The 26917-nt window shown below is 49.1% G+C and overlaps 1 protein-coding gene across 12 annotated transcripts in view, besides 17 other annotated features; it reads left to right on the top strand.

Annotated features, from left to right (window-relative positions):
* Nucleotides 2082-2376: an enhancer, noted in NCBI's record as "tiled region #2587; HepG2 Activating DNase matched - State 5:Enh". NCBI's record gives its function as "activates a minimal TATA promoter and a strong SV40 promoter by Sharpr-MPRA in HepG2 cells {active_cell/tissue: HepG2}" and the evidence as "EXISTENCE:reporter gene assay evidence [ECO:0000049][PMID:27701403]".
* Nucleotides 6950-7139: an enhancer, noted in NCBI's record as "active region_9858". NCBI's record gives its function as "activates an Ori minimal core promoter by ATAC-STARR-seq in GM12878 lymphoblastoid cells {active_cell/tissue: GM12878}" and the evidence as "EXISTENCE:reporter gene assay evidence [ECO:0000049][PMID:35858748]".
* SIN3A (SIN3 transcription regulator family member A) overlaps nt 7249-26917 on the top strand; it is an 86437-nt gene continuing 66768 nt past the window's right edge. The window contains exons 1-3 of one of the 12 annotated variants that reach the window (XM_047432361.1): nt 11374-11641; nt 16669-16831; nt 26621-26718. The gene's annotated coding sequence lies outside the window, so the exon portion shown is untranslated. Of the gene's footprint in view, nt 7430-10492; nt 10902-11373; nt 11705-14889; nt 15012-15320; nt 15412-16668; nt 16832-17658; nt 19731-25488; nt 25535-26620; nt 26719-26917 lie in introns of those variants that run through there. The other 11 variants (NM_001437462.1, XM_047432355.1, XM_047432359.1 and 8 more) reach the window with 11 other exon arrangements.
* Nucleotides 7870-7929: a silencer, noted in NCBI's record as "silent region_6672". NCBI's record gives its function as "represses an Ori minimal core promoter by ATAC-STARR-seq in GM12878 lymphoblastoid cells {active_cell/tissue: GM12878}" and the evidence as "EXISTENCE:reporter gene assay evidence [ECO:0000049][PMID:35858748]".
* Nucleotides 8020-8089: an enhancer, noted in NCBI's record as "active region_9857". NCBI's record gives its function as "activates an Ori minimal core promoter by ATAC-STARR-seq in GM12878 lymphoblastoid cells {active_cell/tissue: GM12878}" and the evidence as "EXISTENCE:reporter gene assay evidence [ECO:0000049][PMID:35858748]".
* Nucleotides 8250-8689: a silencer, noted in NCBI's record as "silent region_6671". NCBI's record gives its function as "represses an Ori minimal core promoter by ATAC-STARR-seq in GM12878 lymphoblastoid cells {active_cell/tissue: GM12878}" and the evidence as "EXISTENCE:reporter gene assay evidence [ECO:0000049][PMID:35858748]".
* Nucleotides 8780-8879: an enhancer, noted in NCBI's record as "active region_9856". NCBI's record gives its function as "activates an Ori minimal core promoter by ATAC-STARR-seq in GM12878 lymphoblastoid cells {active_cell/tissue: GM12878}" and the evidence as "EXISTENCE:reporter gene assay evidence [ECO:0000049][PMID:35858748]".
* Nucleotides 9170-9389: an enhancer, noted in NCBI's record as "active region_9855". NCBI's record gives its function as "activates an Ori minimal core promoter by ATAC-STARR-seq in GM12878 lymphoblastoid cells {active_cell/tissue: GM12878}" and the evidence as "EXISTENCE:reporter gene assay evidence [ECO:0000049][PMID:35858748]".
* Nucleotides 9426-9958: an enhancer, noted in NCBI's record as "H3K27ac-H3K4me1 hESC enhancer chr15:75745447-75745979 (GRCh37/hg19 assembly coordinates)". NCBI's record gives its function as "activates a minimal SCP1, AML or CMV promoter by ChIP-STARR-seq in naive H9 embryonic stem cells {active_cell/tissue: H9 hESC(naive)}" and the evidence as "EXISTENCE:reporter gene assay evidence [ECO:0000049][PMID:30033119]".
* Nucleotides 9840-9929: an enhancer, noted in NCBI's record as "active region_9854". NCBI's record gives its function as "activates an Ori minimal core promoter by ATAC-STARR-seq in GM12878 lymphoblastoid cells {active_cell/tissue: GM12878}" and the evidence as "EXISTENCE:reporter gene assay evidence [ECO:0000049][PMID:35858748]".
* Nucleotides 9959-10490: an enhancer, noted in NCBI's record as "H3K27ac-H3K4me1 hESC enhancer chr15:75744915-75745446 (GRCh37/hg19 assembly coordinates)". NCBI's record gives its function as "activates a minimal SCP1, AML or CMV promoter by ChIP-STARR-seq in naive H9 embryonic stem cells {active_cell/tissue: H9 hESC(naive)}" and the evidence as "EXISTENCE:reporter gene assay evidence [ECO:0000049][PMID:30033119]".
* Nucleotides 10720-10769: an enhancer, noted in NCBI's record as "active region_9853". NCBI's record gives its function as "activates an Ori minimal core promoter by ATAC-STARR-seq in GM12878 lymphoblastoid cells {active_cell/tissue: GM12878}" and the evidence as "EXISTENCE:reporter gene assay evidence [ECO:0000049][PMID:35858748]".
* Nucleotides 11410-11509: a silencer, noted in NCBI's record as "silent region_6670". NCBI's record gives its function as "represses an Ori minimal core promoter by ATAC-STARR-seq in GM12878 lymphoblastoid cells {active_cell/tissue: GM12878}" and the evidence as "EXISTENCE:reporter gene assay evidence [ECO:0000049][PMID:35858748]".
* Nucleotides 11730-12229: a silencer, noted in NCBI's record as "silent region_6669". NCBI's record gives its function as "represses an Ori minimal core promoter by ATAC-STARR-seq in GM12878 lymphoblastoid cells {active_cell/tissue: GM12878}" and the evidence as "EXISTENCE:reporter gene assay evidence [ECO:0000049][PMID:35858748]".
* Nucleotides 11730-12956: a biological region, named in NCBI's record as "H3K27ac hESC enhancer GRCh37_chr15:75742449-75743368".
* Nucleotides 12037-12956: an enhancer, noted in NCBI's record as "H3K27ac hESC enhancer chr15:75742449-75743368 (GRCh37/hg19 assembly coordinates)". NCBI's record gives its function as "activates a minimal SCP1, AML or CMV promoter by ChIP-STARR-seq in primed H9 embryonic stem cells {active_cell/tissue: H9 hESC(primed)}" and the evidence as "EXISTENCE:reporter gene assay evidence [ECO:0000049][PMID:30033119]".
* Nucleotides 12480-12609: an enhancer, noted in NCBI's record as "active region_9852". NCBI's record gives its function as "activates an Ori minimal core promoter by ATAC-STARR-seq in GM12878 lymphoblastoid cells {active_cell/tissue: GM12878}" and the evidence as "EXISTENCE:reporter gene assay evidence [ECO:0000049][PMID:35858748]".
* Nucleotides 21912-22061: a silencer, noted in NCBI's record as "silent region_6668". NCBI's record gives its function as "represses an Ori minimal core promoter by ATAC-STARR-seq in GM12878 lymphoblastoid cells {active_cell/tissue: GM12878}" and the evidence as "EXISTENCE:reporter gene assay evidence [ECO:0000049][PMID:35858748]".

Here is a 26917-nt window from a genome sequence, read left to right as displayed (position 1 = left end):
GAACAGGCAGAGGTAACTGAGCACAAAGCCAGGCTGCTTTGTCACAGGCTGCTGAGAGGTAGGTAGTGGCTGGGACGAATGAACAAGATCTGAAATGTGGGTTCATTAGAAGTCTTCGAAGGGACTATGTGGCTGTTAGGGAGGCTGCATGAGAGAGATGTGAAGGAATAGACTGCAGTGCCCAGGCTGTCCTCACTTAAACCAAAACAAGGCCCACCTTGATCTCTTACACATTAGGCTTCTGAATAAGATTTTCTTTGAACAAAGGACCTTGCTGGGTGCAGTGGCTCAGGCCTGTAATCCCAGTGCTTTGGGGGGCTAAGGTGGGAGGATCACTTGAGGCCAGGAGTTTCAGACCAACCTGAGCAACATGGCAAAACCCCGTCTCTAAAAAAATAAATAAAAATAATAAATTCTCAAATGGCAAGCTATTCTATTTTTAAAAAGCAGTAACAAAGGAACTCGTTGCTTTAAAAAAAAAAAAAAAAACGTCAGGCCAGGCGCAGTGGCTCACACCTGTAATCCCAGCACCTTGGGAGGCCAAGGCGGGTGGATCACTTGAGGTCGGGAGTTTGAGACCAGCCTGACCAACACAGAGAAACCCCATCTCTCCTAAAAATACAAAATTAGCCGGGTATGGTGGCGCAAGCCTGTAATCCTAGCTACTGGGGAGGTTGAGGCAGAAGAATCGCTTGAACCCAGGAGACGGAGGTTTCGGTGAGCGGAGATCGCGCCATTGCACTCCAGCCTGGGCAAGAAGAGCGAAACTCTGTCTCAAAAAAAAAAAAAAAAAAGCCACCAAACAACTGGTAAAGAGAAGGAAACACTTTGAAAACATAAAGCCAGGTAAACTGAGGAACATGCTGAGTGACCCAGAAGGGTAAACTAATGCTCAGCCAGGGGAAACATTTCAAGGCAGTGAGTAGCAGTCATAAAAATTCCTTCAAACATTCCGAGCCTCCCAGGAGAATGGCGTGAAACCGGGAAGCTGAGCTTGCAGTGAGCTGAGATCGCGCCACTGCACTCCAGCCTGGATGACAGAGCGAGACTCCGTCTCAAAGAAAAAAAAAAAATTCCGAGCCTCCAAGGCCACCCAGAAATCAGAAATTACGGAATATATACCATCTAAACCTGGTTGCAAGAGAAATGGAGTTTCTTCACATCATGGGATTATTTGGCCCTCTAGGCCTGCTCCAGGGCTCATTGCTCAATCGGACTTTGCATTTGAATGGCCAGGAGAAGAGGGAGGTAGGGATGAGATAAAGGAGGGGAAAAAGATATGAGAACTCTTGACTGAATGCTAGGGATACTTAATTTTTTTTTTTTTTTTTTGAGACAGAGTCTCTGTCGCCCAGGCTGGAGTGCAGTGGCATGATCTCGGATCACTGCAACCTCCGGCTCCCCGGCTCAAGTGATTCTCCTGCCTCAGCCTCCCAAGTAGCTGGGACTACAGGCGCGTGCCACCATGCCCGGCTAATTTTTTTGTATTTTTAGTAGAGACGGGGTTTCACTGTGTTAGCCAGGATAGTCTTGATCTGACTTCGTGATCCAAAGTGTTGGGATTACAGGCGTGAGCCACCACGCCCGGCAGGCATACTTAATTTTAAATCTCACATCTTCCCACCGAAGTAGGTATTCTGATTCTTAGATTACAGATAAAGAAACTGAAAAGATAAATGATTTGCCAAAATCATCTTGCCTTGAACCTAGAAGATGCTTTGGGTTGTGGGTCCCTGGGGAGCCAGCCTCATATCCTCCTTACCTGGATATTACTGAGAGTCTTAGCCCTCAGAGCTTGTGTGGATAGGGTGCTGGCACTGATATCCTTGGCAGAGTCACTGAAGTGCAGGCCCTAAATGTCTCTCAGTCACCACCTACCATAAGTGCCCTAAAGAACTTTGAATGAGTCCTTTTTGTGAAAGAGAGAGGGTGTATGTGAGACACCTGTGAGATTGAGGGTGTCAGGAGGTGTGATAGATTTGAGTTTATGTGTTGCGAGTTTAGGTCTTCTGTGTATGTATGTATGTATGTGCATCAGACAAATGTTGCTTTTCTGGATAATTTTCTGGAAACGGCCAGAAATCATTTAGAATTGTCTGAGGATAAACTGATCTTTAAGTTAGGGAGGTGAGGAGTGTGGAGCAACAGGGGAGTCAGGCTGTTTTTCTCCAGGCCCCAACCTGGGTCACTGGCCGGAGTGCACAAAGACAGCGTGTGGGAGTGGAGGCAAAGCTTAGACTTTGGACCCAGACTTCCCTTAAGCTATTTGACTTGAGCAAGTCACTCTACTGCTGTTAGCCTCAGTTTGCTCATCTATAACTAAGGATAATAATCCCTAACTCACAAACTCTACAAGAATTTGTTGTTGTTGTTGTTTGAGACAGGGTCTTGCTCTGTCTCCCAGGCTCAAGTGCAGCGGTGTGATTACAGCTAACAGCAGTCTCAACCTCCCAGGCTCAGGTGACCTTCCTGCCTCAGCCTCTTGAGTAGCTGGGACCACAGGGACATGCCACCATGCCCAACTAAATTTGTTTTTATTTTTTGTAGAGACAGTCTCACTGTGTTGCCCAGGCTGGTCTATGAGACTTTTCACATAAAACGGGCCTCCAGGAATCAGAACCTGACCTACCAGTGTGATTTCTCCTAGGAGGGCCCTTACCCAAATCCACTTAATTTTATTTTAATTATTATCATTATTATTATTTTTACCTATACCAGTTGGTTCACAAAGTCCACTTAGTTTTGTCTTCACTGATAGGGTAGTCAGGGGAGTAGCATGGATGTAATCCCTCAGTGCAGCTGGCAGCTGGAGGGACAATGTCACCAAATCAAGCGTTCTCTTTCCCAAAGAATGTGGGACTTGCCGTGCTGTCCAGGTGTCAACATACTGAGTGAGAAACCATCACTGGACCCCTTCCAAAGGGCCCCCTGTATCTGACTGCAGTGAGCTCTGGGGACTCAGAGGTGCATCGAAGTGTCTGTCCTCAAGAAACTCAGTCTGCCAAGTGTTCAGGAGGAGGTCTCCACCAGGGTGGCACACATAGGACCATGGGCAGTGTCAGCAAAGCCTGGTTCTCTGAGTGGAGGTAACTGTTGCAGTTGCAAATCCTCCATGAGTAACTGCATCCACAGCACAACACGTGCTGCCTAGTATCACTGTCAAATGCTGGGTCTTTGGCTTCCACAGCAGCTCAGAACCTTACCAGGTGATAAAGCACACTTTATCATCACATTTGATCCTCATAACAGGGCAAGGATTGCTATGTTATCCTCTTATATAGGAGAGGAAGCTGATCCACAGATAAGAAGGGACTAAGTGGGAACCAGGGGACTCAACTTCCAGACTAGTTCTTTCTGCTCCACCAATCTGCCTCATCTCACTTTGACACAGTATCTGTTATGCCTTCAGCTAGAGCCCCTTAAGAAATTAAGAAATAGAGCAGGAATTTGAGATGGGGATCCAGCCATCAGGGGATTGGTTCTTTTTTTTTTTTTTTTTCTTTGAGATGGAGTTTCACTCTTCCCCACCCAGGCTGGAGTGAGATGGCATGATCTCGGCTCATTGCAACTTCTGCCTCCCGGGTTCAAGTGATTCTCCTGCCTCAGCCTCCTGAGTAGCTGGGATTATAGGCGCCCACTACCACGCCCAGCTAATTTTTCTATTTTTAGTAGAGACGGGGTTTTGCCATGTTAGCCAGGCTGGTCTTGGACTCCTGACCTCAGGTGATCCAACCACCTGGGCCTCCCAAAGTACTAGGATTACAGGTGTGAGGCACTGCACCCGACTGGGTTCTTTTTGAGACTCTGTCTCAAAAAAAACTCTCAAAGAGTTTCACTCTTCTGCCCAGGCTGGAGTGAAGTGGCGCGATCTAGGCTCACTGCAACCTCCGCCTCCCAGGTTCAAACAATTCTCCTGCCTCAGCCTCCCAACTAGCTGGGACTGTAGGCATGTTGCCACCATGGACAGCTAATTTTTTTTTTTTTTTGAGACAAAGTTTTGCTCTTGTCACCCAGGCTGGAGTGCAGTGATGTGATCTCGGTTCACTGCAACCTCCACCTCCCAGGATCAAGCGATTCTCCTGCCTCAGCCTCCCGAGTAGCTCGGACTGTAGGCACATGCAACCACACACAGCTAATTTTTTTTTTTTGAGATGGAGTTTCACTCTTATCGCCCAGGCTGGAGTGCAGTGGTGCAATCTCAGCTCACTACAACCTCCACCTCCTGGGTTCAAGTGATTCTCCTGCCTCAGCCTCCCGAGTAGCTGGGATTACAGGTGCCCACCACCATGCCCTGCTAATTTTTTTGTATTTTTAGTAGAGATGGGGTTTCTTCATGTTGGCCAGGCTAGTCTCGAACTCCTGGCCTCAGGTGATCCGCCTTCAGGTGATCCTGACCTCAGGTGATTGGCCTCCCAAAGTCTTGGGATTACAGGCACGAGCCACAGCGCCCAGCCCACGCACAGCTAATTTTTAAATATTTTGTAGAGACAGGGTCTTGCTCTGTTGCCCAGCTGGGATCTCTGTTCTGAAGAAAAACTTGGTCCTCACCCTAGGGAGGATGAACCTCAAACTCCATGGCTCTGCCAGGGTGGGCCTCCTGCTGAACACATAGTCCTTATCTCCTGGCCTTTCCCTCTCCATACTTTTCACCCAGTGATTCAATTGACTGAGCTACTGCCTATTTTCCAGTCTCCAGACTCCAGTTGGGGTGACCCACTGCCCTTCCAAAATCAGTAGTTCTTCCCACCTACCCTGTCTCCTCAGTGGTAAGCTTCCCCCACCTGGATCCTATGTGAGGTCCTTAGAGTCTATCTTTTTTTCTTTTTTCTTTTTCTTTTTTTTTTTTTTGAGACGGAGTCTGTCTCTGACGCCCAGGCTGGAGTGCAGTGGCGTGATCTTGGCTCACTGCAAGCTCCGCCTCCCAAGTTCACGCTATTCTCCTGCCTCAGCCTCCCAAGTAGCTGGGACTACAGGCGCCCACCACCACGCCTGGCTAATTTTTTGTATTTTTTAGTAGAGACAGGGTTTCACTGTGTTAGCCAGGATGGTCTTGATCTCCTAACCTTGTGATCCGCCCACCTTGGCCTCCCAAAGTGCTGGGATTACAGGTGTGAGCCACCACGTCCAGCCGAGTCTATCTTTCTATTCCAATTTCCAACCCCATTTCACAGGGAAACTGAGGCTCAGAGGGAGGAAGAGACTTGCCTAAGACTATAACACCAGTTGCTGACCATGCTAAGTGCAGAACTCAGATTACCTAACTAGTAGCCTCAAGCTCTATCAACTCTTCACACAGCAGGCCACAGGCTACTTCTTTCCCTCTACTACCCACACTGAATCACTCACCTACTCCCCTTGAGTCTTTCTCAAATACAGGCTCTCCTTCAATATTCTTCTCACCGGCTGGGCGCGGTGGCTCACGCCTATAATCTCAGCACTTTGGGAGGCAGAGGCGGGTGGATCACAAGGTCAGGAGTTGGAGACCAACCTGGCCAACATAGTGAAACCCCATCTGTACTAAAAATACAAAAATTAGCCGGGTGTGGTGGCACACGCCTGTAGCCTGTAGTCCCAGCTACTCGGGAGGCTGAGGCGGGAGAATCGCTTGAACCTGGGAGGCGGAGGTTGCAGTCAGCCGAGACCATGCTATTGCACTCCAGCCTGGGTGAGAGAGTGAGACTTTGTCTCAAAAAAAAATAAAATTCTTTTCACCCACTGTCACTGTTCTGGTCAATCCTCCTTTCGTGTCTCCTGAATTATTGGGAAAGACTTCCCAATAATTTCCTAACTGGCAGCAGGCCCTCATTCTGCCCATTGGATGCCAAGGTCCTTCACATTCTGCACACCCCACCTTATCCACATTAACTTCCTTTCCTCAATGCCTCAACAAACAGGTTTTTTTGTTTGTTTCACATTGTGTGCTCTGGCTCTAGGCTCAGCTCTCTGGAATACAGACATGTGGGGTGGCTTCTGTCCCCTAGAAACTCCTTTTGGTTAGAAGTTATGATAAATAAAGCAAATGAGGCAAGGAAGGATCTGAGTCAAAGCTTTGACTTGAGGGCTGCTGAAGGTGGGGAAAGCTTTCGGATTGGGTGGCTTTGATAGAGAAAAGAAGCCTTCTCTTTCCCCAGCTATTCCTTCCACAAGAGGCACTTCTGCAGTCTCCAAACGCAGTATTACAACAGCCTCTGGGCCTCCCCTTGCTGCCTATAGGCACTTCTCTCTCAGTGCATCGTCAGAACCCATCTTTCTGCCAGGGTGCCAAACATCTTACACTATAGTTCTGGGTCTGTGGGCCTTGTGACCGTGCTGCCTGCACATTCTGCTGCGCACGTCCAAGAATTTTACTCAACTAAAAGTCTTAAACTGTTTGTTCCATCTCCCCACCCCTCCTTTTTTATTACTACAGCCACATATGAAGGTCCTTTTTTGCATTCACCCCTTTGTGTCCTTTGATGAAAATGACCTGCCCCTCCAATTTGCTGGATGAAATCTTTAAGACCCAACTTGAATGCCACCTCCTTCATGAAACCTTTCCCAATTCTCCTTCAGCGAAAAGGAATCTCTCTTCTCTGAGCTCCTATTTACATACACATTCCTATTTTCATACACATTCCTGCCTTGCCTTAGTTCCTTACGTAGAATCTCCTCGGCTGAATCTGGAGCCCTTGGAGGGGTAGAGTAAGCATGTCATCCAGTCTGTAATTGCACCCAGCAGCAGGTACGTATGAATGTCTGCCTCACCCACAGTAGGTGCTCAGGCAAGTGCCTGTTGCCCGCGGACGCAGGGCTTCCTGTTTGCATCACTCATTTTTAGTCGCCTAACAGAGCGGACCGAACACGGTTAGGTCACACAGCCACAGGAGTCTGCCCACTCCAGCCAGTGACTAGGGTGCTCCTACCCTTCTCTCCTACCTAGTTCCAAATGGGTTGTGTGTGTGAAGGAAGTTGGGGCCGGGTAGCTCCGCTGGCTCGTCCTCCGCGTCCACCCAGCGGATCTCCGAGTCCCAGGCGGCCTCCCCCCAGTCCGAGGACCTCAAGAAACTCGAGTCGGCGGCGAGGGAGCTATATGGGCCTCTACCACGGATGCGTCTCCCACTCGCGTTTAGTTTAATTAATTAATTTATATTTTTTGGAAGGAGGGGGCGTTCAATGAAGGGGAAGAGGCGGGGCGAAGGGCGGAGGCGGGCCCAGGGTGACTGACGTGAGCGCCGGGGAGCCAATAGCCCGTGGGGGGCGTTCCCCCCCATTCAGGACTCCTCGCCTGGCTCGGAAGGTATGTTAAACAGCTGCTTTTAATTTGGTCCCCCCAATCTCAGGCGTTTGGGGGGCTAGTCCGCCGGCCGCTCGGTCTGGCCGGCCCGACGTGGTGTGGGCCCTGCGGGCCCTGGGACCGAGCTGAGGGGAGGCTCGGAGTTCCGCGGCCGAGGTAGGCGAGGGACAGGCCAGGAAGGAGAGCTCTTGGCGCCGCCCGCTCGCCAGTGTGTGTGTTTCCCAGCCTGGCCGGAGCCGTGGGAGAGGGGTGGGCCTGGCCTGGGGTCGTCCCTGCGCCGGCCGTGTAGCCTAGTTTATCTCACCGAGCAGTCGGTTTCGGTAGGTTTTGGCGGCGGACTGGAGAAGGGGCGGGCAGGAGACCCCCGACTCCTGTTGTGCCGTTTTTTTAAAAAGAAAAATACTGGAAAGAAAAGGGGGATTCCGCACACCGACTAGAACCGGGCCGGAGCTGCGGCGTGCGGGCTCGGCAGGGGGCGGCGGCTCGAGCATGGTCGGCGGGGCCCACTGAGCTCGCGGCGCTCGGAGTTGCTCGAGAGCTGGAGTTAGCGAGCGAGCCGGGGCCCGCGGCTTCCCTGGCTACCCACGCTGGACAAGGGCGGCAGCCGCCCCGAGGGTTTTGTTTTTGCCCGCAAACTTGGAGGGGGCGGTGGGCGCGCTCCGGAGAGGCGCGGGCACTGTGGGCCCGCGGTTGTTATGGACTCTGGGGGCGGGGGCAACACCGGACTTGCGGGAGGGGCGGCCGGGGGCGGGAGAGGCCACCGGAAAGAGCCCCTGCGCCTCGCCGCTAGCCCTGCGAGCTGCCGGGTCTCCAAACTCCCTGGCCGTGGCGGTCGAGTCAGCATTCGGTGCCGGAACCCGTCAGGCCGCGACCCAGCAAGGAGCTCGCATCGGTGGTGCGGAAAACCCCCAGAAACTCGGCGGCTTCGTCCGCGGCCCCGGCTGATCCCCTTGCAAACATGGAGCTGCCTGCTTCCCCGCCCACCCCAAGGCGGCGGCGGCGACTGCTGCTCTCTTCCCCTCCCCCGACCGTGCCGCCGCCGGGCTCCCCCTTCCCGCGAGGTGCTGCTGCGGACCGCTCGGCGCGGATGGGGCGGGGGCGGGGGCGCGGGCGTGTGCGCGCCCACGAGGGGGTGGCCTGAAAGGGGCAGTGAAGGTCGGAAACTGGGAAAACAGTCTCCACGCTCGGAATCGGGAAAAGGAAATGCATCAGCGGGCGGGGAGGGGCGCGGGGGGCGCGCCTGTCAGCCGGGATGGCGGCCGCGGGCGGGTAGGCGGGGCGCCGGCGGGAACCGTCCCGGCCGGGCGGGGCGACGCCGGGAGAGGCGGCGCAGGGGCCCAGTCCACCGAGCGCCGGGCGGCCCTTGCCTGCACTCCTCGGCCCAGACTGTTTACTATCTACTCCGCCGGCGGCTTGTGCAACCCGCCTGCAGGGGAGCTGAGGGGCGGACCCCTTTCCTCTCTCCCACCCACCTCCGGCTCTCCCGGAGGCCCCGCCTTCTCTTGTCTTCCACTGGCTAGGCGAGACTCCCTTTTTTTCTCCTTCTTGGATGTGGATTGGATGACATTCTCCCGAGCTCCGCCTATCGGGAGGCCGGGCTGGAGTTTAAGTTGCTAGGATTTTTTTTTCGCGGAGGGAGGAGGGACGGTTCTTGCGGATGACGTGAGGCGCAAGGTCCCGCCCCCGCCTCTGATTGGTGGGGCGGGTAGCCCGGCCTCCTCCGGCGGAGAGAGCTGGGAGGGGAAGTCCACCCTTGCTCCCCGCCTCCCTCCGCTCTTGAGCGCGCTCCGCACATGTGTGAGGCCCGCCTAGCTCCTTCGAACTGCCCTCCCGCCCGGAAGTCCTAGGCTCGGCGCCCTTGGCGAGGGGGGCGGGGAGAGCCGAGAAGCCACACAAAGGTTCCACCGAGGCTCGAGACCTAGTAGCCTTCGGGGTGAAGCCAGGGGATTACAGTGCGGAGTGGATTTCGGGAGCGAAACTCCGGAGGTTCTGCTGGGTTTGAGATCTGCCTTTCGGGGCCGGGGCCAAGTACTAAAGTTCTAACCCTGTCGCTTGGCTATTTCCGTGCCCCTTGACTTCCCTGAGCTTAAGCTCGAGAACTCTGCAGACGCTGCAAGTGTCTGTTCTTTCCTAGGCATGGCAGCGGCTGTCCTTAGTTGGCTGTATCTGAGACTCTGACAACCTAGTGCCCTGGCCTGGGGCCCTTAGGCGAGATCTTAGCGCAGGTGGTACCCTGTGTTCACGGGAAGTCGTGGGCGGCCTAATGCTGGCTTGGGTTCTGAGTAGTTCTTGATACCATGGTGGGAATGCCCTGTGGTACTCAGTCTAGTGGTGGAAGGCGGCGCAAAGTTAAAAGTAGCCGTGGGTCAGTTCTGCTGGAGTGCCGCTTCCTCCTAACCTCCGAGCAGTTTGGCCCTGGGGTCGCTTCGTTGGTCTGACTTATTTTTAGAGCTCTGTCCTGGGGCAGGGCTTGGCTACTGGCGAGGCTGCTCCCACCTGTCGGCTACCCTTGGAGTTCACAATTCGCTGCTGTGGTTTCGCGGCTCGAAGCCATCGCTGGAGTCAGGCCCACCTGCTGCCAGAGCTCGTTCCTGGCCGTTTCCGCTGGATTGCAGAGGGAGGACAGTGTTGGACCTAGGCGTGGGTTCCCTGGGCGTGTCCCTTGGGGTCTTAGCTCTCTGGGAGGAGGGTTCTACTTATTCGGGAGAGCGGTAACAACGTAATCCCGTCACCTCTCCTGGCGCTGAGAGAGCGCCCCCCAAAGTAAGATCAGCGTCAGGCCCACGCCCTATTTGGTGAATAAATAAAAGCAAACTAGGAATTGAAAGCACTTTGTCTCACTGTGTGTTCGAGGCACTGTTACCTACACAGAGAGGGCACAGGAACTGCTATTAACACTCCCGGCCAAGGAGAAGGTGAACAGCCGTTATCTTATGTCCCCAACTACGGAAATTTTATCCATTCTCTGAGTGTGGCATGTCCCCAATGTTAATTTATGCCGTGGCCTGTTTTGGTGTTTTCCTCTCCTTTCTCAGTTCTGAGGATGCCTCCAGATCCACCCGGGAGATCGTGAGTACCTTGTGCCTCACGCTCCGCCTTCCGGAGGCTTGCCAGGGCGGTGGCTGTTAGAGCCCGCCTCTCTTTTGGTTATCTCCGCCCTCTTAGGACTGCATATTCAGCTCTAGGGAGTTTACTTCTCCGCCTAGGTCTCCAGACCTTAGTTCTGTACTCTACTTGGCTGAAAGGAGTTGCCAGCTGCTCCGGATATTTGTGTTTACAAGGACGCAGTGTGTAGAATGTAAACTGTAAAGATAACTGGACGGAAGGATGAGTTCTCATTCTCTCATTTTTTTTGTGAGGGAGTCCTCCATGGTGGGCTGCCTTTCCTTCAAATCCTAGGATGTGGAGTCTCCGCTGATGAGCTCCGCTCCCCCTCCTATCTCGGGCCCTGGAACTCCGAGCTTCAGTCTCTAGTGTAAACATTCCACAAAAGGACTGCTAAGGTTCAGCCTCCTCGCGCAGGGTGGAATTAGCTCCTTCCTAGACGGGCGCCCTGGCCAATGGAGGGTCCTACCAGCGCCAAGATATCCAATCCGACTCTTGGGGCGGGGCCTGGCCCGGCAGTGCGGTAGGCGGAGCCTGTTTCACTTACAGACATTTTACCCCACATCGGTTACTTACCTTACTGGGGCGGTGGGAGAGCCAGGGGTAGCCTTCCAATGCGATGACCAGCGGAGGCGGGAGCCAACTTGTTAGGCCTGTGGCTGAGACGCTGCAGGGCGGGTTATGTGGTGTCCTCCAATGAGACAGGAAGAGCTTCCCTGCTTCCTCCAATAGTGTTGGGGCTCGGGGGTGGGCTTCAGCAGTCCGTCTCCAATAGGCGGGGTTGAGTTAGGGAAGCTCCCCGCCAATAGGGGCGTGGAGAAGGAGAGCGGCTCCCCCTCCCCTACCAGTCGAGGGGGAAGGGGCGGGAAAATCATAAGACAGGCCTCGGTGGTTGGCTGAGTCTTTGACGGGCGGGTATTGCGTCCTGTATTGGAACGAAGCTGAGTCTTCCCTCTGCGGGGCGGGGTCGGGGGAGTGGGCGGGATTTCCCGGGTAACAGAGAAGCGGCCGCGGCGGTAGAGGCGGCGGAGACGGTTTCTCCATCTTCCCCCCTCCCCTTCCCCCCTCGGAGTTTCCCTCCCTCCCTCCCTCCCTCCTTCCCAGTCTGGGCACCGGAGCCTGTGACCGCTTCGTTAGTGGAGAGGTAGCTGGCAGTCCGCTTCGGCGGGCCTGTGCCCCGCGCCGTTCTCGGGGCCTCCCTGCTGAGCTCGCGGCTCACGCTGAGAGGGACACGCAGTGACGAGCGGCCGAAGCAGCTTTGCGGTGAGAGCACGCTGGGCCGGGGGCCGGGCGGGAGCCTGGTGGCGGGTAACGCCGGACTCGAGGGTGTGTATTTTGGGGGGGGGGGGCTGACCTCCTCGGCTTCCCGTAGAGCAGACGGGCGGGAGGTGTGTGGTTGTGTGAGGGGGGTGGGGGGCGGAGCGGGGTAGCTCTCCGCGCGGGAGGGGGAGGAGAGCGTAGTCCCGGTGCGCGCGGAGGGGGGCGGGCTCTCGCGCCGCCGCTCAGAGGCGGGGCCGGCGCGCGCGTGCGATTGTGGAGAAAGGGGCGGGGCCGGCTTCGCGCTGAGTGCAGTTTGCGGCCGACCACCCCCTCCCCTCCTCCTGGGGTGGGCGGGGCCTCGGGCTGGCGGCCGCGCTCTGGCCTGCTGGGGTCGGGGAGGGGTAGGGGGGGGTCTCCCGCGTGTAGATTCAGGGCGCGGCAGGGAGGGGGCGTGAAGTCTGAGTTCCTCCGCCTTCTTGGGATCCGGTTGGCCGGAGGGGCCGTACTGATCCGTGATGCCACTCCCCTTGGCCGTCCCCCCCTGCACCCCGCCCAGGCCCCGGGTTTCCGCCTCCTTGGCAATGAGGAGGTGCTAGGGAAAGCCCGCTGTCGGGTCTGGCTGGGAGTCTCGGCGCCTAGATCTGCCCCGCCCTATGTCTCCGTGGGGAGGGAGGGGCACCCGCCGACTGGGAGCTGTGGAGGTGTCAGGACTTACTCTTGTGGCTGGGTCATGCCTTCTGCCTGGGGGCACAAGGGCCCTGTGCCGGAGCTGCTTTCTCCGCTTTGCTCCATGCAGCGTGTCTGGCACCGTGCAGCCAGGAGAGTGGGAGCATGGTCACCCCCACTCCCCTCTTGGTTGTAACTATTGGGGCGAAGTGCCCAAGGTCCTCTTGTAGGAGCGTGCGTGGCTGGTGCTGGAACCCTAGATCCGCGGTGGTGATGGTAGGGGAGGGGCAGGGAGTCATCAGAGACTAGAAATGTGGCGGAGGGAAAACCTTCCCTGGGGTTCCCTTGATGTTCAGTTACCGTGGCTGTACGGGGCGGGGCTTCCTTTGAGCCAATGGGTGGTGGGTAGTAGACTTGGCGTCTGTTTCGGTGCGTTAGGACTTTAAACGAAGTTAGCCTTGAAAAGGCAGTGGAAGCTCCTCCTCTTTACAAGGCTGAGATTTATAACAGGAAAGTTTGGATTTACATTTTAATCTCAAAACTGGTCTGTTTATAAAGTAGGGTTTGTTTTTTTTTTTTAAGAACTCAGACTTTGAATAAAATACTCCGATATCTCTGACAGTTGTATTTTTGAATGCTTTCATTGTGCACATGGTTCTGCTATATAAACTTAGTTTCCTGGACGGGCGCGGTGGCTCATGCCTGTAATCCTAGCACTTTGGGAGGCCGAGGCAGGTGGATCACTTGAGGTCAGGAGTTCGAGACCAGCCAGGCTTACATGGCGAAACCCTGTTTCTACTAAAAATACAAAAAAAAGCTGGGCGTGGTGGCAAGCGCCTGTAATCCCAGCTACTGGGGAGGCTGAGGCAGGAGAATCACTTGAACCCGGGAGGCGAGGGTGCAGTGAGCCGAGATGGTGCCATTGCACTGTAGCCTGGGCGACAGGAGCAAAACTCCGCCTCAAAAAACAACCAAAAAAACTTGGTTTCCTAAAGAATTTGCTATTTAGGTAACTATAGGTGAAAAGTCTTTTCTTTTTTATTTTATGTACTTATGTTAGACCATCTAGACCACTTTCTATTTATACTCTACATAGTACAGTGTTGTTGCCCTTTTTATTTCAGAGGAGGGTGGAATTGTGGATCAGGGTAGCCTTCTGTATGTGACTTCTGTAGCGTTGCCCTCCAGCCTGTATTGGAGAGTTGCCTTAGGGCATTTCAGATTTAGATAGCAGAACCACATTAGATGAGGTTTTTGCTTTCACTTGATACATTATCTTTTCCTATTGAGAGAAATTATTTCAATGTTTTTCACATTTTTCATGAGAAAAATAAACATGGAACCAATGTTTATTTATGCAGTAATGTCTAAATGAGCCTCTGGTTAATTATCTGAAGTGAAATTCTAGATTTGTGCTTTGGTTAGTAGGGCCTGAGTGGTACCCTGTGCTATATTTATGTGAAAAGGGTAGGTGGGTCCTACCTTCTCTGCTAAGGAAGTTGCAAAAGCAATAGCATTTTAGTTTAGCAAATGATGGCTGTAATAGAATTGGTGGGGAGACAAAAAATCCAGGTGGTTTTTTCTGATGCCATAAACTGAGAGAGATAGTGGAGAACGATTGACCATTGAGGAAAATTTGGGCTACATATATAGTTCCCATGATTTGCAGTGCTGTATACTGGGGAACACAGAAGAGTCTATAAGGATTCAAGTAAGAACCTGGTTTTGCTGTATTAGGAACATTTTCATAAATGCTTCATAATCTCCAGATAATTATTTTATATACTATAATTTTGTTCAGAGATAAATAGCTTAGAAAGATTGGCACTTCGTAATTAAGAGGGTTTTAATAATTTACATACAGAGAAAGACTTTTTTTCTTTTTTAAGGAAGGAGGTGTGTAGTAATTTGACAAGATTCCTGGTGAAGTATAATTCTTTTTACATCTTCAGTGGGAGCAGACAAGACACTGGAGAGCTGTGCATGGCAGATGTTAGTACCTGGGAATTTTAACTGGAATTAAGAGGTTATATCCCTGGCATTCAGTAGTTTAGCATAGTGCTTTTCATGGCTTTCTCTCTTTTCTGGGCAATCCACCAGCCAAGAGTTTGTTAAGCTTTACTTTCTGTAGGCCTTTAAAAAAATAAATAGTATATGCTTTTTCAAAATACACCTTCCTCGCCCCTTGAAAAATAAAAGCTGATATTTATTGAGCACTTACTGTGTCACAGATACTGTGTTAGGCACTAGACTTTTTTTTTTTTTTGAGATGGAGTCCTGCTCTGTCTCCCAGGCTGGAGTGCAGTGGTGCAATCTCAGCTCACTGCAACTTCCGCCTCCCGGGTTCTAGCGATTGTCCTGCCTCAGCCTCCACGAAGAAGAAGCTGGGGCGCCACCACACGCCTGGCTAAGTTTTGTACTTTTGGTAGAGGCAGGGTTTCACCATGTTGATCAGGTTGGTCGCAGACTCCTGACCTCGTGATCCGCCCGCCTCAGCCTCCCAAAGTACTGGGATTACAGGCATGATCCACTGCACCCGGCCGCATAATGTCTTTTTTTCTCATGTCTTTTTTTTTTTTTTTTTAGACGAAGTCTCGCTCTGTCACCAGGCTGGAGTGCAGTGGCATGATCACAGCTCACTGCAGTGTTGATCTTCTGGACTTAAGCGACCCTCCTACCTTAGCCTCCCATGTAGCTGGGACTACAGGTGTGTGCCACCACGCACCTGGCTAATTTTTTTTATATTTTTATAGAGGTGAAGTCCTGCTGTGTTGCCCAGGCTGGTCTCGAACTCCTGGGCTCAAGAGGTCCTTCTGCCTCAGCCTCTCAAAAGTGCTAGGATTAAGACGTGAGTCACCGTGCCCGGTCATGGGTGGCAATTTCTACCTGATGTATTTCTTATTTGCCCCTTTTGCTTTTGTTTTCCCTACCCACTTTTTGTCTTGTATGCTTGTATGTTACCCATATTTCTCAGCATGACAGTGGACCCTTCATGAGTCTTCTTGGTGTCCTCCAGGGCTAGGCTTGCTGACATATGGGCTATTGGAGGATATGCAGGTCCACATCCTTTATTTGCAGTTCTGAAATGCAAGAGTTTTTGTTTTTTGGTAAGTCTAGTTCCACAACTAGTTTTGGGGTACAGCCTGACCTGGGCTATCCTGCATGATGCAGAAATGTGACTGCTTGATTATGGGGAGCTACTCAGCCCTAGCTGGGAGAGAGAGATGATACAGTATATGTACCATATTACCTTTCTAAAATCCAAACAATGCTGATGACTCTAACGGGGATCTCTCCCTCTACCATAGACTAATATGTTTAGTGGCCCACTCAAGGTCTCCACTCGATGTCTCCTCTTGGATAACTAAGAGACATTGTTGACTCTTCTGTGTCTTTTTCATATGTGGTCCATCAGTAAATTTTACTGCTTTATATTCAAAATACTATCCAGAATTAGACCACTTAGGATCTGCATCTCCACTGCCCTAGTCAGTGCCTGTGCATCTCTAGCTTGGATTCTATTCTCCTTGTTTTGTTACTGCGGCTCTTAAATGTGTTCTCAACATAGCAACCCAAGTGATTCTTTTGAAACCTAAGTCATACCGTGTCACTTCTCTGCTTAAAACCATCCAGTGGCTTTCCATTTCAGTCTGAGTATTAAACCTGAGTCCTTATTTAGATATGTCTGTAATGAGCTGGGCGCGGTGGCCCATGCCTGTAATACCAGCACTTTGGGAGGCTGAGGCAGGCGGATCACGAGGTCAGGAGATTGAGACCATCCTGGCTAACATGGTCTCCACTAAAAAAAATACAAAAGAGTTAGCCGGGCATGGTGGCACACGCACCTGTAGTCCCAGCTACTCGGGAGGTTGAGGCAGGAGAATGGTGTGAACCCGGGAGGTGGAGCTTGCAGTGAGCCAAGATCGTGCCACTGCACTCTAGCCTGGGCGACAGAGCGAGACTGTCTCAAAAGAAAAAAAAAAGGATATGTCTGTAATTTCACCATTTTGGGAGCTCAAGTGGGAGGATCGTTTGAGTCCAGGAGTTTGAGACCAGCTTGGGCATCATAACAAGACCCTGTCTCTATAAAAAAATTAAAAATTAGCCAAGCATGCTGGCGCGTGCCTGTAGTCCCAGTTACTTGAGAGGCTGAGGCAGGAGGATTGCTTGAGCTCAGGAGCTTGAGGCTGCAGTGAGCCATGACTGTGCCACTGCACCCCAGCCTTGACGACAAAATGAGACCCTGTGTCAAAAAATAAAAAAACACCTGTAAGAACAAATCTGATGTACCCTCTGCCTGCCACCCTTATCCTAGTACCTCTCTGACTACATTTCTGACTAGTCCTTCTTTCGTTTTTCTTCAGCTACCCAGCCTTCATGCTGTTTTGGAACATGTCAAGCACATGTGAGCCCTCACAAAGACATGAGGGTCTTTGCGGTTGCTGTCCCCTCTGCCTAGAAGGCTTCCTCCACTAATTTCTGCATGACTAGCTCCCTCACTTCCTTTACTCAGAAGTTACCTTATCAGTAGGTATTATCTGACCATTCTTATCTACAATTTCAAAAACTCTTCCTTGCCTTTTGTTCTTGATACCTGTCACTGCCTACTATTCTAAATATTATACTTTGTCTATTGTGTCATCTTTCACTAAAATATAAGCTTCTTGAGGGAAGAGATTTTTGTTTACCGTTGTATCTCCAGCTCCTAAAACACCTGGTGCATAGTATGTGCTCAGTAGATATTAGAGAATGTATACATGAATGAATGATTTGGTTTCCACCACAGACAAGACAAAGCAGTATGCTGAGCATGGTAGAGGATACATAGATGGTTAAAGATGTTATGTGCCCATGTTTGTGTGGGAGCAGAAGAGCTAATGTGATAAAAGCAGTGTGAGATGTGAGTGACACTTCCACCTGTCCTTTCAAGAACTATCTCAAGTTCTATTCTTTGTAATGCTCTATTTTCTTTTCTTTCTTTCTTTTTTTTTTTTTTTTTTCTTTTTTTTGAGACAAGGTCTCACTGTGTTGCCCAGGCTAGAGTGCAGTGGTACTATCTCGGCTCATTGCACACACACACATACACACACCCAGCTTCAAGTGATTCTCCTGCCTCAGCCTCCCGAGCAGCTGGGATTACAGGCATGCGCCACTACACCCAGCTATTTATTTATTTATTTATTTATTTTGAGACGGAGTTTTGCTCTGTCTCCCAGGCTGGAGTGCAGTGGTGCAATCTCGGCTTGGCACAATCTCAGCTCACTGCAACCTCCACCTCCTGGGTTCAAGTGATTCTTCTGCCTTAGCCTCCCGAGTAGCTGGGATTACAGGCACCCACCACCATGCCTGGCTAATTTTTTTTTTTTTTTTTTTTTTTTTGAGACAGTGTCTCGCTCTGTCGCCCAGGCTGGAGTACAGTAGCGCGATCTCAGCTCACTGCAATCTCCCCTTCCCAGGTTCAAGCAGTTCTCCTGTCTCAGCCTCCTGAGTAGCTGGGATCACAGGCGCCACCACCATGCCTGGCTAATTTTTTGTATTTTTAGTAGAGACAGGGTTTTACCACGTTGACCAGCCTTGTCTTGAACTCCTGGCCTCAGGCAATCCACCTGCCTTGGCCTCCCGAAGTGCTGGGATTACAGGCATGAGCCACTGCACCTGGCCTTATAGATATTTTGAAAGATTATATTTCTTATATTAAATAGAGATAGGGTCTTACCATGTTGCTCAGGCTGGTCTTCCTGGACTCAAGCAATCCACCTGCCTCAGACACCCAAAGTGCTGAGATTACAGGTGTTAGCCACCATGCCTGGCCTAATACTTAATTTTTAAAAAACTTTTTCTTTGGAAATAATTTTAGACTTCAAAGAGAGTTGCAAAAATAATACAAATAATAGCCCTATAATCTTCACCTAGATTCCCCAAGTGCATCTTTTAAAACCACAATACAGTGATCAAATCAGAAAATCAACATTGATAACAATTATTAATACATTTTGAATTTAACTAAATTTCTGTTCATTTTCTACCTACAGTAGTAAGAAATGTCTGGGTAACATCAGTGTCACCGAAGTCTGTATTGCCCAGATTGGTCTCAAACTCCTGGGCTCAAGCAGTCTGCCCACCTCGGCCTCCCAAAGTGCTGGGATTACAGGCCTGAGCCACTGCACCTGGTCTGGACTCAATTTTAGTTTTTGAGTTTTGCTTTTTTTTTTTAAAGCAGTACTAACTACTTGTAAAGATGTATATTTCATGACTTTTATTTATTGGAGGTCTTCAAAACAGCAAAGAGAAAATTTATTTTTATTTTTAATTTTATTTTTGAGATGCGGTCTTGTTCCATCCCCAGGCTGGAGTGCAGTAGCGCGATCTTGGCTCACTGCAACCTCCGCCTCCTGGGTTCAACTGGTTCTCCTGCCTCAACCTCCCGAGTAGCTGGGATTACAGGTGTGTACCACCATACCCAGCTAATTTTTGTATTTTTAGTAGAAATGGGGTTTCACCATATTGGCCAGGCTGGCCTCAAACTTCTTATCTCTCGAAGTGCTGCGATTACAGGCATGAGTCACCATGCCCAGCCTGAAAATTTATTTTTTTTCCAAAGGAATAAACTCATTTTAGCTATTACCACTTGTACATCGAAACAATGTTGTGGAGTTTTACTGATCTTATTTTTCCTGTATATTGAAATGTTTTGGTATTTCATCATCCTAGGAATTATTTCATCATTACTCATCAATTCTCAAATATGCTAAAGAGGACTAAAATAATATGACAAAGGGAGAATTATAGAATTGCTTAAAAGGATATGCAGTAGTGAAATAAATCATTAGTTTTACACTTCAGTTTTTAGAGATGGGGCCTCGCTTTGTTGCCCAGGCCGAAGGGCAGTGGTATGATCATAGCTCTCTGCAGCCTCAAACTTCTGGGCTCAAGTGATCATCCCTCCTAAGCATCCTCGGTAGCTGGGACTATAGGTGTGCACCGCAGCCCTTCAGTTTTCTTATTGCTTTTCCCAAAACTTACAGCAACTTTTTTTTTCTTTTTGGATACAGGGTCTCACTCTGTCACCCAGGCTGGAGTGCAGTGGCGCAATCTCAGTTCACTGCAACCTTCGCCTCCCAGACTCAAGCAATCTCACCTCAGCCCTCCAAGTAGCTGGGACTACAGGCATGTGCCACCACACCTGGCTAATTTTTGTATTTTTTTTGTAGAGAGAACGTTTCGCCATGTTGTCTAGGCTAGTCTCGAACTCCTGGGCTCAAACAATCCACCCACCTTAGCCTCCCAAAGTGCTGGGATTCCAGGCATGAGCCAGCATGCCCAGCCTACAGCATCTTTCAAGAAAGTATAAAAGAAGTTGGGAGATACCATCTTAAACATTATGTAAGATGTTAACATTTGGAGAATCTAGGTGAAGGAGTACATGGTAATTTTTATACTATTTTTCAACTTTTAAGCTTTCATTGGACATATTTAAAAATCCATAGTTTTTCATCTTCCTCCTATAATGGCAAAGAGAAGAAAACTGACTACAGAAGACATTTCAGAGGAACTAGTAGATGAATGCTGTGTGACAGTAGTACTCTAGACTGTTAGGATGACGGTAAAGTTATATAAACCAAGTTGTAAAATAAGAGTCTTCAGCCAGGCATGGTGGCGTGCACCTGTAATCCTAGCATCTCGGGAGGCTGAGATGGGAGGATCACTTGAGCCCAGTACTTCAAAACCAGGCTGGGCAACATAGCAAGATTCTGTCTCCACCCATATACATATGTGACTGTACCCTAGATGAGTTTAGAATGTGATTTTTTTTTTTTTTTTTTTTTTGAGACAGAGTTTTGCTCTTATTGCCCAGGCTAGAGTGCCATGGCACAATCTCGGCTCACCGCAACCTCCGCCTCCTGGGTTCAAGGGATTCTCCTGCCTTAGCCTCCCAAGTAGCTGGGATTACAGGCATGTACCACCATGCCTGGCTAATTTTTTGTATTTTTAGTAAAAGATGGGGTTTCTCCATGTTGGTCAGGCTGGTCTTGAACTCCCAACCTCAGGTGATCCACCTGCCTTGGCCTCCCAAAGTGCTGGGATTACAGTCGTGAGCCACCATGCCCAGCGGTGAATTTTTTTTTTTTTTTTTTTTTTTTTAAAGATGGGATCTATCTCACTATGTTGCCCAGGCTGGATTTAAATTCCTGAGCTCAAGCTGTTCTCCTGCTTCAGTTCCCCCAAGTAACTGGCACTATAGGCATCCAGCTAGAATGTGATTTTCTTTTTATAAGAATCAGAACTGGGCTGGGTGCAGTGGCATATGCCTGCAATCCCACCTTCTTGGGAGGCTGAGGTGGGAGGATCGCTTGAGCCCAGACGTTCGAGACCAGCCTGGGCAACATAGTGAGACCCCATTTCTATTTTTAAGAAATGAAAAAAAAAAACAATCAAAACCACTGCACTTTGCCAAAAAGATGTATGATAGTATTCTTTCATCTTTCAAGATATTTGTACACCAAAACTTAGTTGATGCAGTTTGTAAGTGGACAGGTGCCAAAGTTACGTATATGTATAAAGATGGTTAGAAGGAAAAATTATGTAAAAATGAAAAAAAAAATCAGTTTTTTTTTTTTTTTTTTTTTTTTTTTTTTTTTGAGACAGAGTCTCACTCTTGTTACCCAGGCTGGAGTGCAGTGGCATGGTCTTTGCTCACTGCAACCTCTGCCTCCTGGGTTCAAGCGATTCTCCTGCCTCAGCCTCCCGAGTAGCTGGGACTACGGGTGCGTGCCACTGCACCCAGCTAATTTTTTGTAGTTTTGGTACAGATGGGGTTTCACCGTTTTAGCCAGGATGGTCTCAATCTCCTGACCTCGTGATCCACCCGCCTCGGCCTCTGAGAGTGCTGGGATTAGAGGCAAGAGCCACACGCTCAGCCTGGATTGTTCATTCTGATTGACATTTATTAGTCTAAAAATGAGAATGCTTATGATTATGGAGCAAAGAAGATGACTGTTCTCTCCAACAAAATTATGAAGTGAGTTTTCAAAGTATTTCATTTGATGGGCAGAAAGGGAAAAAAAGACCCAGAGGTGATAAGCTAGAACCTTACTAGAGCTGTACCTGAAACCTGGAATCAAAATTTACAAAATGGAAGCCAAGCGTGGTGGTGTGTACCTGTTTACAGAGTGGAAGCCAAGTGTAGTGGTATACACCAGCTACTCGGGAGGCTGAGGCAGGAGGATCGCTTGTGGCCAGGAGTTCAAGACCGGCCTGTGCAATGTAGGGAGACCCTGTCTCTAAAAAAAATTTTTTTCTTATTAGCCACTCTGTAGTCCCAGCTACTTAGGAAGCTGAGGTGGGAGGATTGTTTGAGCCCAGCAGTCTGTAATGAGCTATGATCATGCCACTGTACTCTAGCCTGGGCAATAGAGCAAGACCCTGTTTTTTTTTTATTTTGTTTTTTGTTTTTTTGAGACGGAGTCTGGCTCTGTTGCCCACGCTGGAGTGTAGTGGCGAGATCTCGGTCAACCTCCACCTCCCAAGTTCAAGCAATTCTACTGACTCAGCTTCCTGAGTAGCTGGGATTATAGGCACACGCCACCATGCCCGGCTAATTTTTTTGTATTTTTAGTAGAGATGGGGTTTCACCATGTTGGCTAGGCTGGTCTTGAGCTCCTCACCTCACGTGATCTACCCGACTTGGCCTCCCAAAGTACTGAGATTACAGGCGTGAGCCACTGCACCTGGCCAACCCTGTTTCTTTTTCTTGTTCTTTTTTTTTTTTTTTTTTTTGAGACAGAGTCTTCGCTCTGTCACCCAGGCTGGAGTGCAGTGGCGCGATCTCAGCTCACTGCAAGCTCTGCCTTCCAGGTTCACGCCATTCTCCTGCCTCAGCCTCCCGAGCAGCTGGGACTACAGGCGCCTGCCACCACGCCTGGCTAATTTTTTGTATTTTTGGTAAAGACGGGGCTTCACCTTGTTAGCCAGGATGGTCTCGATCTCCTGACCTCGTAATCCGCCTGCCTTGGCCTTCCAAAGTGCTGGGATTACAGGCATGAGCCACCGCGCCCGACCCCTTGTTTCTTAAAAGAAACAAAAAATTTATAGAATGGCTGTGTTCCAAGTTCATGCATGACATTTGATGAGTACTTGGTTGCATTTTAAAGGATGTTGCACATTTTGGATATTTATATCTCCCAGTGTCCAGGAAAGTACGGAATAAAAATTTAGATTTGCTACTTAAGGCTGGGCATGGTGGCTCACACCTGTAATCCCAGCACTTTGGGTGGCTGAAGCGGGCAGATCACTTGAGGTCAGGAGTTTGAGAACAGCCTGGCCAACATGGCAAAACCCCTTTTCTACTAAAAATACAAAAATTAGCCAGGTGTAGTGGCACACACCTGTAATTCCAGCTGCTTTGGGAGGCTGAGGCACAGGAATTGCTTGAACCTGGGAGGCAGAGGTTGCAGTGAGTTGAGATTGCACCACTGCACTCCAGCCTGGGTGACAAAGTAAGACTGTGTCTCAAAAAAAAAAACAAATTTGCTACTTACATTCTTGTTAAAATAGTAAGTAATAACGATATGGGGTTTTTTTAAAGTTATTTATTTATTTATTTATTTTTGAGAGGGAGTCTCGCTCTGTTGCCCAGGCTGGAGTGCATTGGCGTGATCTTGGCTCACTGCAACCTCCGCCTCCCAGGTTCAAGCAATTCTCCTGCCTCAGCCTCCAAAGTTGCTGGGATTACAGGCGCCCGCTACCACGCCCAGCTAATTTTTGTGTTTTTAGTAGAGACGGGGTTTCACCATGTTGACCAGGCTGGTCTTGAACTCCTGACCTCAGGTGATCCGCCCGCCTCAGCCTCCCAAAGTGCTGAGATTACAGGCGTGAGCCACCACACTTGGCGTTATTTTTAATTTTTACAGATTTAATGAGCATTATGGTATCAGAAAAGCTCTAAAATTTTGAGTCAGAAGAGTTTTACAGATCAAGCCTAAGAGAGGGACGAAAGGAGACCAGGCGTAAAAAAAGATAAGAGTTCTAAAAAACTTTAGGTCAGAGTGTCTGGCCAATGCGTAATGGTATAATGCGGGTTAAAGGTGTATCATATGCCGTAAAAGAAGCATTGATGGCCGGGTGCGGTGGCTCACGCCTGTAATCCCAGCACTTTGGGAGGCTGAGGTGGGCGGATCACGAGGTCAGGAGATCGAGACCATCCTGGCTAACACAGTGAAACCCCATCTCTACTAAAAAATACAAAAAAAAAATTAGCCAGGCGTGGTGGCAGGCGCCTGTAGTCCCAGTTACTTGGGAGGCTGAGGCCGAAGAATGGCATGAACCTGGGAGGCGGAGCTTGCAGTGAGCCAAGATCACGCCACTGCGCTCCAGCCTGGGTGACAGAGCAAGACTCTGTCTCAAAAAAAAAAAAAAGATATGTGACAGTTGGGGTTATGATTAAACTTAGGTTTCTCAGTCTTCACACACTGTTGACATTTTGGGCCAAATAATTTGTTGTGAGGAGACTGTCGTGTGCATTGTAGGATGTTTGACAACATCCTTTTACTCTATCTGTGAGATATCAGTAGCATTCCATCTTCCCGAGTTGTGACAACCAAAAATGTCTTCCATCATTACTACATGTGCCCTTGGGAGGCAGAATCTCCCCTAGTTGAGGACCACTGCATTAGAAGAATATAAAAACTGAGTTCAAAGGAGGCTTGGATATTAGATCTAATGGTGTCTTTTGAGAAGAGCTGGTTGTTAATTTTTCCAAGCAATAATTCTAATCAATATATGAAATCTAAATAGAGTGCCTTTCATTCTGTAATAGATTCTTTCTTAGCAGATTTAAAACCAGAGGTGGACTTTTGGACAAATTTTGAATTAGACTACTCAAAATTGCACTGGGTTGAAGTTTACATTGACTTAATACTGCGATGGAAGTTTGCTTTTGAAGAGAAACTTTCCATTGTTTCAAGAATATGCATTTAAAAATAAGCAAAAAAGAGTATGCATTTATTTATTTTATTTTTTGTTCTAAGAGTATGCATTTAAACAAACTGACCAGGATAGACTTTTGTTTTTTTGAGACAGGGTCTTATTCCATCACCCATGCTGGAGTGCAGTGGCATAATCACAGCTCACTGTAGCCTCAACCTCCCAGGCTCAAATGATCCTCCCACCTCAGCCTCCTAAGCAGCAAGGACTACAGGTGCTCACTACCATGCCCAGCTAATTTTTAATAAAATTTTTTTGTAGAGACGGTGTCTCACTTTGTTGCCCAGGCTCATCTCAAACTCCTGGCCTCAAGCAATCCTCCCACCACGGCCTCCCAAAGTGCTAGGATTACAAATGTGAGCTGCTACACCCAGCATCCCACCCGTTTTTTTTTTGTTTGTTTTGTTTTTTGAGACGGAGAGCCTTGTTCTGTCAACCAGGCTGGAATGCGGTGGCGCGATCTCAGCTCACTGCACCCTCCGCACCCTGGGTTCAAGCGATTCTTGTGTCTCAGCTTCCTGAGTAGCTGGGATTACAGGCACCCACAACCACACCCGGCTAATTTGTTTTTCGTGCTTTAGTAAAGACAGAGTTTCGCCATGTTGGCCAGGCTGGTTTTGAACTCCTGACCTCAAGTGATCCGCCTGCCTCAGCCTCCCACAGTGCTAGGATTACAGGTGTGAACCACCGCGCCCAGTTTTATTATAACACATGGCCAGGTGACTTTTAGGACCTGTAGGTGTTTTTTTTGTGTGTGTGTATTTGGGATCTTCCTCTGTCGCTCAGGCTGGAGTGCAGTGGTGCAATCTTGCTTAATCTAACCTCCACCTCCTGGCCTCAAATGATCCTTCCTCCTCAGTCACCCAGAGTGCTGGAATTACAGGTGCAAGCCACTGTGCCCACCAGGTGACCTTTAAATGTTCTGCTGCCATTATTTAGTCTTCTCTCCATAGTTTCTATACGTCAAAGTGCTTTTTTTTTCTTTTTATAATGTCTTCCTAGACTAGAGTTCTGATAGTACTATAAACTCCAAATTTGAAACAGATGGAGATCAACCATGTTGGCTGAAGCGGGACTTGACAGTACTTTTGTGGCTGACTTTGTGGTTCCATCGTTTGGCTTTCTTTATATTCTAGAATTACACTGTACCCCTCTGCAAGCGTGGTTTTACAGTCTTGTCCAATGTTTCTACTTTAGATTGTTCATATTCCAAGGAGGAAGAATTTAACCTCTTGCTCTTTTAGTCAGGTATGTGACCTTGAATAAGTCATTTAATTTGAGTATCAGTTTCCCTCAAAAAAAGAGGGGTCTGGCTGGGCGCAGTGGCTCATGCCTATAATCTCAGCACTTTGGGAGGCCAAGACAGGAGGATTGTTTGAGGCCAGGAGTTGGAGACCAGCCTGGGCAGCATATCGAGACCCTGTCTCTACAAAAAATACAAAAGTTAGATATGGTGGCGCTGCCTATGTCCCAGCTACTTGGGAGGCTGAGGTGGGAGGATTACTTGAGCCCAGGAGGTTGGGGATGCGGTGAGCCGTGATAGCCCTGCTGCACTCCAGCCTGGTGGACATAATGGTATGCTATTGCAAAAAAAAAAAAAGGGTTCTGGGACTGCCTATCTGACAGGATTGTTGCGAGGAGGACATCAGCTGATAGCAGTCATACATGGAAGACTTGGCTGTTGTCGGGGAGGAAATCTCTGGCTCAGTGCTGGACTTCTAACCCTCCGCACAGGGCCAGGCATGTCTTAAGCACTTGCTAATTATTTGTGGGATGAATGACTTGGCAAAGATTGTAAATAACTATTGCCTGCAAGTCTAAACTTACTATTTTAATTTCATGCTCTATACCCCTGTGTTCTAATTCATCTCTAATTTTCAAGATGTAGCTGAATATTTACCTTTATAGAGTCTTCCCAAGTGTACCTGTCTGTATCCCTTTCCCAATTTATAGTACTTATTTTTTCCACTCAAGAGCTGGTTTGTATTGTTGGCTTTTCTTCCTGTTTTTTTTTTTCCTAATCCTCAGAACCTGTGGATGTTTTTTTCCAAGACTTTATCAAGAAAATTTCCAAATACACAACAAAGTTGATAGAATTTTAGTAAATATAATGAACACCCATATACACACTACCTAGATTTTACCATTATCATTTTTCTACTACTAGGTTTAACATATGCCTGTCCATCTATCCATCGCTCCATCAATGAATCTGATTTTTTGATGTATTTCAAAATAAATTGCAGACATTAGTATACTTCATCTAAGCACTTGAGCATGTTTATCATTATCTAGAGTTTAATATTGTTTATAGCATTTTTCTTTTTTGTCCAGGCTCGAGTGCAGTAGCGAGATCTCAGCTCACCTCAGCCTCTGTCTCCTGGACTCACATGATCCTCCCACGTCAGCCTCCTAAATAGCTGGGATTACAGGTACATGCCACCATGCATGGCTAATTTTGTATTTTTTGTAGAGATGGAGTCTCGCCATGTTGCCCAGGCTGGTCTTGAACTCCTGTGCTCAAGAGGTCCGCCTGCCTCGGCCTCCCAAAGTGCTGGGATTACAGGCACTTTGTGAGCCATTGTGCGTGGCTAGCATGTTTTTTCTTTGTCTTTTTCTTTTTTGTTTTTT

Source organism: Homo sapiens, chromosome 15 (assembly GCF_000001405.40).
Source record: "Homo sapiens chromosome 15, GRCh38.p14 Primary Assembly".
Lineage (NCBI taxonomy): Eukaryota > Metazoa > Chordata > Mammalia > Primates > Hominidae > Homo > Homo sapiens.
This window is presented reverse-complemented; position numbering and strand designations above follow the sequence as displayed.